This window comes from Homo sapiens, chromosome 13, assembly GCF_000001405.40.
Source record: "Homo sapiens chromosome 13, GRCh38.p14 Primary Assembly".
In the NCBI taxonomy this organism is placed as follows: Eukaryota; Metazoa; Chordata; class Mammalia; order Primates; family Hominidae; genus Homo; species Homo sapiens.
In genome coordinates, this window is record NC_000013.11 from 113,871,781 (window position 1) to 113,884,171 (window position 12,391).

The 12,391-nt window shown below is 51.5% G+C and overlaps 1 long non-coding RNA gene across 1 annotated transcript, besides 2 other annotated features; it reads right to left on the reverse strand.

Moving 5' to 3' along the window:
• Positions 2,180-2,727: an enhancer, noted in NCBI's record as "H3K27ac-H3K4me1 hESC enhancer chr13:114576933-114577480 (GRCh37/hg19 assembly coordinates)". NCBI's record gives its function as "activates a minimal SCP1, AML or CMV promoter by ChIP-STARR-seq in naive H9 embryonic stem cells {active_cell/tissue: H9 hESC(naive)}" and the evidence as "EXISTENCE:reporter gene assay evidence [ECO:0000049][PMID:30033119]".
• Positions 2,728-3,274: an enhancer, noted in NCBI's record as "H3K27ac-H3K4me1 hESC enhancer chr13:114577481-114578027 (GRCh37/hg19 assembly coordinates)". NCBI's record gives its function as "activates a minimal SCP1, AML or CMV promoter by ChIP-STARR-seq in naive H9 embryonic stem cells {active_cell/tissue: H9 hESC(naive)}" and the evidence as "EXISTENCE:reporter gene assay evidence [ECO:0000049][PMID:30033119]".
• LINC00454 (long intergenic non-protein coding RNA 454) lies at positions 6,848-11,706 on the reverse strand. The gene is made up of 3 exons (NR_047035.1): positions 11,635-11,706; positions 9,568-9,712; positions 6,848-7,552 (listed from the first exon to the last, which is right to left on the reverse strand). It is a non-coding gene; the product is annotated as a long intergenic non-protein coding RNA 454 (long non-coding RNA).
• Positions 11,707-12,391: the final 685 nt, after the last annotated feature.

Consider the following 12,391-nt stretch of genomic DNA (forward strand, 5'->3'; position numbering starts at 1 on the left):
ATTTGGGAAGTTTCTAGATATCTTTGTGGTTATCAATGTATAATTTGGCTTTATTGTAGAAAGAGAACATACTGTATATGACTTGAATTCTTTTTAATTTATTGAAACTTGTTTTGTGGCCAGAAGATGGTACATCTTGGTAAACGTCCTGTGTGTTCTAAAAAAGAATGTTTATTCAGCTCCTATTGGATGGAATGCTCTATAAATGTCAACCAGGTCAAGTTGGATGATAGTCTTGTTCAAGTCTACCATATCCTTGCTCATTTTCTGCCTTCTTATTCTATCAGTTATTAAGAATGGAGTGCTGAACTCTCCAACTAGAATTTGGATTTGTCTATTTCTCCTTACAATTCAAGTTTTGCTTCATGTATTTTGAAACTTTTTTACTTGGTGCATAAATATTTAAATTACGTACTCCTGAGTAATTGATCCCTTTATCATAATGAGATATAATATTCTTTGCTCTGAAATCTATTTGTCTGATTGTTAAAATAACCATGCCAGCTTTCTTTTGATTAGTGTTTGCATTATATATATATATATATATAATTTTTAAAATTCTTTTTCCTTTATTCTATTTTTGTCTTAATGTTTAAGGTAGGTTTCCTGTAGGTAGCATGTAACTGAGTCTTCCTTTTTTAAATCCAATCTGATATTTACCTTTTAATTGGGTTATTAGATCATTTTCATTCAATATACTTATTAAAATGATTTGGTCTAAACCTACTACCTTGTTATTTGTTTTCTATTACTCCCATTTGTTGTTTCCTTTCCTTTATTTTATTTTATTTTTTGCCTTCTTTTGGATTAACCAAATTTTTTATGATAGAATTTTCTCCCTTGTTGGCTTATTAACTGCAATTGTTTGTTGTGTTATTTTGGTGTTGCTGTGTGATTTTTATTATACAGCTTTAACTTATTAGAGTCACCTGTTCACTTGCAGCAGTCTGCTTCTATTTCTCTCCTCTCTTTATGTTGTTGTTTTCTTGCATTTTACTTCTATATGTGTCATAAACCTTGCAATACAGAGTACTATTGTTTGCTTTAAACAATGCTTTTAAAATATTTAAATGATGAGAAAAAAATATTTACTCATATCTTTATCATTTCCAGCACTGCTATTTCTTTGAGTAGATGCAGACTCAATCTGGTATCTTTTTTTTTTTTTTTTGTCTGCCTCAGTAAAAACCTTTAAAATGTTCTTGAGCGTATGTATGTTGGTGACACATTCTTTCAGTTTTTGTATGTCTTTAAAAGTCATTTTTTTGAAGGATCTTTTTTACTGCAAATAGAATTCTAGATGGACAGTTTCCCCTGTGCCTTTTAATTTCAAAGACATTGCCCTCCCGTATTTTAGCATATATTGTCTCCAACAGGAAATCGGCAATCATTCTTTTCTTTGTTCATCTGTACATAATGTCTTTTTCCTCTGGCTGCTTTTAAGATTTTCTCTTTATCACTAATTTCAAGAAACTTTATCACATTGTACCCTGTAGTTTCTCTCAGGTTTCTTGTGCTTGGGGTTCATTGAGATTCTTGGATTTGTGGGTTTCTAATTTTTATATTTGGAAAATTTTGGGGTATTATTTCCTCAAATATTGTTTTCTGTCCCCAAGATGCTCTCCTTATTTAGGGAACTCCAGGTATACATACAGATGGCTGCTTGGAGTTTTCCCAGAGCTCACTAAGGCTATTCTGTTTTCATTGTTTAGTCTTTCCCCCTCTGCGTGGGTTTGATTTCAGTTAGCTTCTATTACTATGCCTTCAAGTTCCCTATTCTTTTGCAATGTCATATCTGCTGTTAATTCTATCCAGTATATCCTTCATCTCAGACAATTTATTTTTTATCTCTAAAGTCTTGCTTTTAGGCATTGTTAGGGCAAAACCAGAGCCGCAGGGAGTCAGGGCAAAAGCTGCCACTCCAGGCAAAGCCTTTGTGAGCGCTCACCCTAATGTCCTGTGGATAATGAGATTTTCCACGCTGAGGGATGGAAACGGGAACTATTCCGGACCTGTGAGAGCTGCGGGATTGGTCCCTCTACTCCTTTCAGGTGGTTCTTTTTTTTTTTAGAGACTCTTGCTCTGTCACCCAGGCTGGAGTGCAGTGGCCCGATCTCGACTCACTGCAACCTCTGCCTCCCGGGTTCTAGGAATTCTTCTGCCTCGGCCTCCTGAGTAGCTGGGATTACAGGCACATGCCGCCATGCCTGGCTAACTTTTTGTATTTTAGTAGAGACGGGGTTTCACTGTGTTGCCCAGGCTGGTCTCGAACTCCTGAGCTCAGGCAATCCACCCGCCTCGGCCTCCCAAAGTGCTAGGATTACAGGCATGAGCCACTGCACCCGGCCCAGATGGTTCTTTCTCTGGCCTTGGGTCGTTTCTTCTCAAGGGTGTGGTGATTTAGCTGGAAACTAGAGAGGATCTTCTGCAAATCTCCAAAGTCCTTTTTCCGTGAGCCTCTCTCTTCTCTCATGCCCCTCCCCGTGCCCTGCTGCCTCAGCCTCCTGGTCACCTGGCTCTGCCCCCACTCGAGGGGTCATCGGGCTCTGCCTGGCTTCTCCTCTGAGTGATGTCAGAGCTCTCTCCAGGCCATGAGCGGGCAGTCATTGGCTCACCTCCAGGCATCTGACGGATCCTCCGGGTGTGTGATGGGCCTTGCAGGTGTGTGAGGGGCCCTCCAGTTGTGTGACGGGCCCTGCAGGTGTGTGATGGGCCCTGCAGGTGTGTGACGGGCCCTCCAGGTATGTGACAGGCCCTCCAGGTGAGTGGTGGGCCCTCCAGGTGTGTGACGGGCCCTGCAGGTGTGAGGGGCCCTCCAGGTGTGTGAGGGGCCCTCCAGGTGTGTGATGGGCCTTGCAGGTGTGTGAGGGGCCCTCCAGGTGAGTGGTGGGCCCTCCAGGTGTGTGACGGGCCCTGCAGGTGTGAGGGGCCCTCCAGGTGTATGATAAGCCCTCCAGGTGGATGGAGTGCATTGGCCTGGAGGTTCCCTGTTTCCCATCACACAGCTCCTCACCGCTCACGGCCTTGCCTGTCGAGAGCAAGGAGGTCGAGAGTGTGTGTGTTGATGGTGATGGGCGGGAGGGGGTCGGGGTGAGGGTCTGTCTGGTAGTTTTCGGTAAAGGAGTTCTTTCCTGGGGCAGCACCCACACCGGGCCGTGTGGGAACCTGAGGCCCCGCTTTACCCAGGAAGCCTAGCAGAGAGAGTTTCCTGGGAAGGGGAGGTAAGTGGGGCATTTATCTCACTCCCCATTTTAGACAAGAATGGAGCAGCGCAGGCCACGGAGATGAGGCATGGGCTCTGGACTGTGGCGTCAGCCGCCTGGGTGGGAATTCCAGCTCCACTTGCCACCCTCACAGTGGGGCTGGGCCCAAGCAGGTGTCGTCTGAGACCAGCAACAGCTGCCTGATCCCCAAGGGAGAGACAGCCCCGTCCCAGGAGGCAGCCCGGGGTTGCCAAGCTCAGGGGGAGGCAAAGGCCACACTGGGCCCAGCTAGCATCACCTGTGGGTAGCTGAGCGAGGGTAACAGAGCCGCCTGCCCCGAGGGGCACCACGATGCGGGATTTCCACGTCTATTTGAGCAACATAATTAGCCGCTTCATCACATTTTCTACTTCTCTGTGTCTGTAACATGGTCTGAGCTCGCTCTCCAGAGAAGCACGGTCCCTCCTGTCTGACCCGGTCATGGGATTGGGGGTTGTCACCCAGAACAGCAAATGTGCATCACGCTGCAGGACCTGCTGGTTGGTCGGAAGCAACTGGAAGGTCTGGCAAAATTCTGGTCCAGTGAGGCCTCCCTTTCACAGAGATGGGAGGTGGCCATGTGGCTGGCCCTGCTGCCGCTGCCAGGGCTGCATCAGGGGCACCCGAGCAAGGCTCCTCCAGCAGGACACCGGGAGCCAGGGCCACAGCAACACCCAAGCAACCGTGTGCCCTCTCCTTGGGGTGGGAAACCAGCCAGCTCCACCTGAAATCTAGAGTGCCCAGAGCCTTGAGGCACTTGGTTCCTGACACCTAGAAGTTCAGCTCTTGGGACGTCGGAAGTGAGGTGTTGCTTTCAAGGACAGGAAGCCCGTACACTGGCCAGGAGCAGGAAGACGCAGCAAAGCTCAGCCCCAGATGGCTTGGCTGGATCTTTCCATGAAGCTGCTGAGGAAACAGTACTGTCATGCCTCTGCAGCTTCTGATGACGCCCTGAGGCCAGTCCTCAGCCTGGGGCCTGGGAGTGACTTCAGGGCTGCAGAAGAAAAGGGGTGTGGGTGTCACTGTGGTGTGGGTATCACTGAGGTGTGGGTGTTGCTGCAGCATGGATGTCCCTGTGGTGTGGGTGTCCTTGTGGTGTGGGTGTCCCTGTGGTGTGGGTGTCGCTGCTGCATGGGTGTCACTGAGGCGTGGGTGTCACTGAGGTGTGGGTGTCGCCGTGGTGTGGGTGTCGCTGAGGTGTGGGTGTCGCTGCTGTGTGGGTGTCGCTGAGGTGTGGGTGTCGCTGAGGTGTGGGTGTCGCTGTGGTGTGGGTGTCGCTGAGGTGTGGGTGTCGCTGAGGTGTGGGTGTCCCTGTGGTGGGGGTGTCACTGAGGTGTGGGTGTCGCTGAGGTGTGGGTGTCGCTGTGGTGTGGGTGTCCCTGTGATGTGGGTGTCACTGTGGTGTGGGTGTCACTGCTGCATGGGTGTCACTACCATGTGGGTGTCCCTGTGGTGTGGGTGTCCCTGTGGTGTGGGTGTCCCTGTGGTGTGGGTGTCGCTGCTGCGTGGGTGTCACTGAGGCGTGGGTGTCACTGAGGCGTGGGTGTCCCTGTGGTGTGGGTGTCACCGTGGTGTGGGTGTCGCTGCTGCGTGGGTGTCACTGAGGTGTGGGTGTCACTGTGGTGTGGGTGTCCCTGTGGTGTGGGTGTCACTGTGGTGTGGGTGTCACTGCTGCATGGGTGTCACTACCATGTGGGTGTTGCTGCTGTGTGGGTGTCACTGCAGCGTGGGTATCACTGAGATGTGGGTGTCGTTGCCACATCGGTGTCGCTGCAGTGTCAGTGTCACTGCCGTGTGGGTGTCACTAGGTGTCATGTAGGTGCCATTGTGGTGTGGGCAGGACGTTTCCCTTCACTCTCAGAGGGACGGACCCGTACCCTGAAGTCCAGATTCACATCCTGTCATGGGGACAGCCTTAATTGTCACAGTCATGCCTCATGACCTTAACTTTGTGACTCCAAGCCTTCCAGACTGGGCAAAACCAGTCAAACAAACAGACACCATGACATGTGTGGCATTCGACACAAAAGCATTGGGCTGATCTGAGGTGGGAGTTTTGCTGGACCAGGGACTCATCAAGAATGTGCCTCCTTCAGTCTGGACATGGCCTCTCTCCTGCTTTGAAACCCTTCAGGGTTTCATTTATTTTTAGTTTTTATTTTTTAATGCTCAGGGAAGTCAGTGAAGTCAGGTGGAGATGGAGGAGGTGTTCTGTGTTTCACACTCAGGCATCGGCCTTGTGTGGGTAGCGTGTGGGTGGGGACTCTGAGGGTTTCGAGCCCTGAGGTGTCCTGTTTTGGGCTGGATGGGGAACTGCTCAGCTCCTTCCACTGCATCAGGCCCCGGAAAGTGCTCTGCAAGGAGGAAGGGGCTCAGGAGGGCTGCCCGCCTCACCGTCCTCCTCCCAGGAGCCTGTGGTGAACGGGCATGAGCTCATCAGACAAGACCCAGAGCGGAGGACAGAGGGGCCGTACCAGGACCACCTGGTGGAGGGATGCCCAGCCTCGAGGAGCACCTGAACCTGGAGTCTGTGTGGGGATCAAGACGGCCCACATGGGGGAGGCACAGAATCTCCTAGGAGTCCTGGTTTCCAGGATAACGGCTGCTTTCCCAGAGCCTGAGGGATATTGTGTCCTTCTGTTCTCTAGGGAAGGGCCCTTCCTGGAGGTGAGCTATAAGCAAAGTCATTTCAAGGGGGTTGCTTGGGGAGCTTTGATGTGGGGCCCCAAATGCACGTGGGTCCTAGCAATACCATTGTGAGGTAGAGGGGCCACTGCGCCTTTCCAGTGCCTGGCTCTGGCCTTAGTCAATGCCCCCGCTCTCGTGTGGAGGGGTGGCCGTGGCATGACCCCCGTACATAAGGAAAGACACAGGCTCCTCAAGCAATGAGCGGCGGTATCGGGGTTGACCTGCTAACATCATTGCCTCTGGCTGAGGAGGGGAAACCCACTTTGTACTTTATACTTTTGTTTCTGCACCCATTGATTTTTAAGCAAAAGCATGTATTACTATCCTAACCAACATAATTGAAAATTTCCAGAGAGCCCCTTCTGAGGGGGAGACTTTCATGGAAACTCAGAGAGGCTTCCATTAGTGACGGGAGAAACAGGCCTGGCCCTCCACACGGACACGCATCCGTCACAGCCAAGGATGAAGGCCTGTGTGCTGTGTGGTTGTCTTAGGCTGTTTTTATGAGACGGAGTCTTGCTCCGTCGCCCAGGCTGGAGTGCAGTGGCGTGATCTTGGCTCACTGCAAGCTCCACCTCCCAGGTTTCACGCCATTCTCCTGCCTCAGCCTCCCGAGAAGCTGGGACTACAGGCGCCCACCACCACGCCCGGCTAATTTTTTGTATTTTTTTAGTAGAGACGGGGTTTCACTGTGTTAGCCAGGATGGTCTCGATGTCCTGACCTCGTGATCCGCCCACCTCGTCCTCCCAATACTGGGTGAATTATCACACTTCTTTCTGACCATTCACTTTTCTGTCTTTGTAACAGCCATCAGGGTCTTTGAGAAAGTTTTGTAACTTAGTTCATTGATTTGGAAAATTATGCCAATAACCACCCTTCCTAGCAAACTGTCCCTGAAGAAGACCACGACAGTTCATTTAGTTTTCACAAACAGTATTAGGAGATGACTTGGAATTTTCTGGGGAAATCATTGAATATACTTCTGAGCGCAAACCCAGTGGCACAGGGAGTCCTTGGTCGCCAGGGCTGTCATCATTTCTGGAGGAGCCGTGTTGCACCTGGGGCCACTGAGACCCAGAAGGTGAGGCCGTCTGATGGGGCTATGGGGAGAATCCCACAAAACCACCATCACACACCCACGTTGGCCCCAGAGGTCCACTTTGTCATTTAAAGCTTACATAATAGAAATAGGGGACCCCTTGAAAACCTTTTCCTCTCTGATTTGGGAAGCTGAACTCTTTTTTCATGACACCAAAGCAAACGGCTTAGCAGTCAGGGTGGGGCTCTACTTTCCTCCCTCCTAGCCTGGTAGGAAAGTGCGTCCATGCGATTGGTGAATCAGAATGGGCCTTCTTCCTGCATATCATTTCTCCACTCCTTTCTTCTAATGGTGGGTGCCTCAGATCTGTCCTGTGGGAGAAAGGACTTCGCGGAGCTCTGTGGGGGCTGCAGCTGAGGAGAGTGCTGGAGTCTTCAGTCGGATCTGCCTTTCTTGCTGACTCAAGAAACAGTAAAAGGTGACAGGAAGGTGGCCCCGGAACAAATGGAGTCCCGCAGTGGCTCCAGCCATGTGGAATAAACCAAATTAGTGCTGGCAGAAACTGAACCTGGATTATGAGTGCTGGCAAAAATGTAAACAAAATTATTAAAAGAAAATTGAACAAACTGCAGTTTTCATCTCCTGTTAAGTGCTAAAGTGTGCCAAGTCCAACTTGTAAACAAACTAATGAGCTTGGCTTTAATTAATGTTAAAAAAGCTGGTTCGACAGAGCCTGAAGAGGCCTATAAATATTATTTTGAAGAGTATCCAAGACACTTAGAGCAGCTGTGTGAGCCTTTAGAATTGACATAGCTATTTTAATATATGCAGAGCTATTTTTAACCTTTCAGCACAGGCCAGTCAGAGTGGGAGCCCAAGGGCAGTGAAGCCGGGGTGCCCATCAGCTCCATCAGCCAGAATGCAACCTTGAAGGTCAAGGGCATTGGCGCAGCAGTGTCCTGGGGCAGTTGGAAAAGTACCACAAACCGGGGAGCTCAAAACCACAGAAATGTATCTTCTCTCAGCTCTGGAGGCCTGAAGTCCAAAATCAAGGTGCCAGCAAGGCTGTGCTCCCCCAACAGCTGGGAGGGTCCTCCCTGCCTCCTCAGCCTCCGAAGCTCCAGATGCTCCCGGGTTTGTGGATTCACAGCTTCCATCTCTGCCTCCACCACCACATGGGCTCCTGTGTCACCCTTCTTCTTATAAGGACACAGTCACGACTTCATCCTAACTACAGTGGTCCTCGTTGTCTTCCATCTCACTTTTCTGGGTTTTAGTCACTCACGGTCAACCACGCTCCACAAATATTACATGGCTACACTTGTGCTTTGGGGGCATTATTAAGTAAAAGAAGGGTGACCTGAACACAAGCACTGTGACACCACAGCCCATCTGGTCACTAGGATGACTGCCAAGTGGCCAATGGCAACCCAGGCTTGGATGGGATGGCTCGGAACAGAATATAACTGAACACTGAGGAATTTTCTATTTCTGGAATTTTCCATCTACATCACAATGCCTGCATCTCTCACCTCCCTTCATCTCACCACGTGGCATTTTACAGCACTTTACATCATCACAAGAAGAAGGGAAAATACAGTATAGTAAGATATGTTGAGAGCGAGAGACCACATTCACATAACTTTTATTACAGTATATTGTTATAACTGTTCTATTTTATCATTGTTATTAATCTATTATTGTGCCTCATTTATAAATTAAACTTTATCGTATTTCTGTACACATGGGAAAAAACACAGTGTATATAGGGTTAGGTACTATCTGAGGTTTCAGACATCCACCAGGGCCTTGGAACATTTTCCCCAGGATAAGGGGTCACTATGGTAATTAGATCTGCAATGACCTTATTTCCAAATGATGTCATATTCTGAGGTGCTGAAGACTCAGATTTTAACATGTATTTTTGGGGAACACAACCAACCCATACCTTGAGTGACAAGGTAGCAGAGCTGGGAGGGACCTCAGGGGGAAGCATCTCTGCCCTGCTTGCTCCAAAGCTGCCACCTCAGCTGTATATCTCCCCAGGGTGGCGGGGCTGGAAGTGCATTCATCTCCTGGATGCTCTGTGGTCCGGGGGCAGCTCCAGGCAGGAGCATCCAGCTACCTTCGCAGGAAGTGGCCTCACTAGAGTAGAGGTGATGGGGTGGGAGCCGAGCCTCAACACGGGGGCCCTGGTGCGCATCCCTCTACCTCCTCAGAGGAGCCCACAGTCCAGCCTCCATCACACAGCCCAGAACGTGCCCTGGAAGAGCAACAAAACCTGGAGGCTCTGGCTGGAATGACCAGGGCTACAGCGTGCATGAAAAACAGATGACCGTGTTCTGTGGCAGCTGCTGCATGTGGGGGCCTCTTTGTCACAGCAGCTTAGACTTGGCCCTGAGCAGCACAGGGCAGGGTTGAGATGTGAGTCCGGTGTCTTGGACCTCAGACTCCTATGATGCTGCGAGGCCGCTGGTGGCTGGACTGTGGGGACCCACAGCCTCTCACACATTCACTCAACAGCCCCATGTTGTGCCTCCCTTGCTGGCCATGTCTGAGGCAAGCAACCACGGTCCCCATGGCCCTGGTGCCCTCACCCTATGGTGCCAGCTCAGCCATGTGGGTGTCTCCAGGATGCCATCGCCAGGGAGTTCACATGAGGTCAGCCTGCCAGTTGGGGCTGCGAAAGTCGGGCTCACATCCTGGCCAAAGCCTCAGAGTTGATGCTTCCTGTGTCTGTGTCTGAGAAATGAAAAAAACACAATAGGACAATGCTAATAAAAGGACCTTTAACATCTGGGGAGGAGAAGCGGCCAGGTGTTTTTTGAGTTAGAGGAAAATTACCCTAAAGGTTTTGCCACTTGTTTGACATTTTTGGGCTTGGTTCCCACAACCCAAGAGGGCCTGGCCTCCAGGCAGGGACATGTCTGTTCTAAGAGTGACTGTGTGAGAGCCCAGCCATGCCTGAAAATGGCAACAAGGTCGCCACACACTCCCTCCACCTTCCAAAATGAAACCAGGTTCTTGGGCCAAGCAAGAAAACTGGAATGCTGGCACAGGAGGTGTTTTCGACCTGCCTGCTTATCTAAGTTTCACATGCAGCTCCATTCATCATAGCAAGTGGTTTCCCTGCTGAACAAGGCAGGCAGGTCTGACAAACACAGTGGCTGCCAGATTCAGCAACACCGCTGATGGGTGGGGGACCATGCCTGTCTTTCCTTGTGATGGGGGAGAGACTAGTGTTTGGAGTTTGAGTGGGTTAGATGGCCCCCGAGGGCTCAGGATGGGCATCCTGGGGAAGCTCAGGGTTCCTGGGGCCTCTGTGCACACTGAGCCTTCCTCTCGAAGTCTTTGAAGTGCACTGTGTGCTTCATTTGTTTAGCTCTAAACTCTTAAAGCTGGCAGGCGTGTCTAAGTGTGCTGATGGCCTCCATTTAATAGGAGAGGAGAATGAAGGCGAAGATCATCCAGATGGACATGGAGAAGATTCTCAAACACGCGTGTCCCTCGGGACTCTGAGACCGAAGAATCACCACAGGAAATCCCACTCTCAGGACTCTGTGTTCCTTCAGGAAGAAGCCTGCACAGGACATTGGCTGAAGCCACCACCTGTGACCCTGTGAGAGCTGGGCTGGAGGGAGCCGAGTTCACAGTGAGAGTGACCTCAGGGCAGGCACAGGGCAGGCTGCCGTCCCTCGCTGGTGCTGTTTATAGTGAGTTCCAACACAACGCGAGAGACCAGCACAATGGCCCCGTGTTCCTGCCAAGGCCAGCACCCCACCCGCTTCCTCACTGGGCTATTTTAAAACAGTTCCAGACATCATATTATTTTATCCATAAACACTTCAGAAAGTATTCTCAAAGATAAGAACCAAACACCCCACCCAACCCCAGTTCTGTATTTATGCCTAAAATAATTGATGGTGACTCCTTAATGCCACCAGATATCAGCGCCCAGGACTCCCTGGCATCCCACAGGATTTTTAAGACTCTGTTTTTTCCAACCAGGAAAAAATCCTTGGTTCTCTCCGCTTCTTCCTCTCGTGACTTGTCTTTTGTCCCGTGGTGTCCCCAGGTCTGGACTGTGCCCTGAGCTGCCGGCATCCTCCCCACACCCCCGTCTCTCCTGCAAGGGCGCGGATCCCGGCATCATCATCTGCGATTCGCGGCCAGTTTTGGCGGGAACACAACACCGGAGGGGGCTCTGCCTGCACAGAGGACCCGGGTCAGACGGCCTCTCTCGGGTGCCGCAGGCCTGGCCATCTCCCTGCACCGGTGATTCCATTGTGGGGCTTCGGAGGGAAGATGCTCCGATTCTGTGTCTCCTTTCTTCACCTGTGAGCTGTAATACTTTTCTGAAGAGGGATTTTTTCTCATCAACTATTTGGTCATCCTGAGGTACCGCTGGTTTTTAGCATGTCCAAAGGTGACTTGGGTCATTGTTGCTATTTTTAGTATCGTTATAACTCCTGGATCTTACTGCATTCGAGGCGTTTCAACCCATTGCAGATGTTCTAATGGTCTCATCCTTGGCCGATGGTGGCCCGCGTGCGCTGCCTCAGCGTCCCCATGTCCCTCACTGCCCCGCGCATGCATCCCCTCAGCGCCCCACGTCCTTCAGCACCCGCCGCATGAGTCCCCTCAGCGTCCCCCGCCTGCGTTACCTCAACACTCCCACGTCCCTCAGCGGCCCCTGCGGGCGTCCCCTCAGCACCCCCAACGTCCCTCAGCGCCCCCACGTCCCTCGGCGCCCTCCAAGTCCCTCGGCGCCCCCACGTCCCCCAGCGTCCCCGCGTGCGTCCCCTCAGTGCCCCGTCGTGCGTCCCCACGTCACTAACAGGTCCTACGTGCGTGCTCACGTCACTCGAGTCCCGCGTACGCCCCTCAGCGGCCCTGCGTGCATCCCTCAGCAACCCCACGTCCCTCAGCGCCCCCGCGTGCGTCCCCACGTCACTCAGGGGCCCTGCGTGCGTCCGCTCAGTGGCCGGGTGTATGTCCCCTCAGCGGTCCAGCATGTAGGTTGTGTGGTGTTGCTTTTCGAGGTGGTTTGTGATGCTTGGTAAGTTTCCTGCTTGGGATTCTTATGGTTGAAGTGGAGTGAATGGAGTTACCAAAAAAAGGAACAGGGTCACTCTTTCTGCCTTAATAACGTTTCCCCCAGATTTTCCTGCAAGAGTGGAAGGAAGAAACGTTGAGGTGCGCTCCCCTCCCTCCACAGGGTTTCTTCCTGGACAGCGCCCCGTCTTGCCCTCACGGGAACTGGGACAGATGCGGTTGTCCCCCGACCCCCTCCTCGCGAGGCTCCAGCACCGGCTGTGTGGGCCACCAGGCCTGCCCCACATGGACAGGGCTGCGGAGGGGCTGGCTCCACAGCCCACGGCGGGGCCTCTGGCCAGGTTCTCCCTCCCCTGGCAGTGGCTG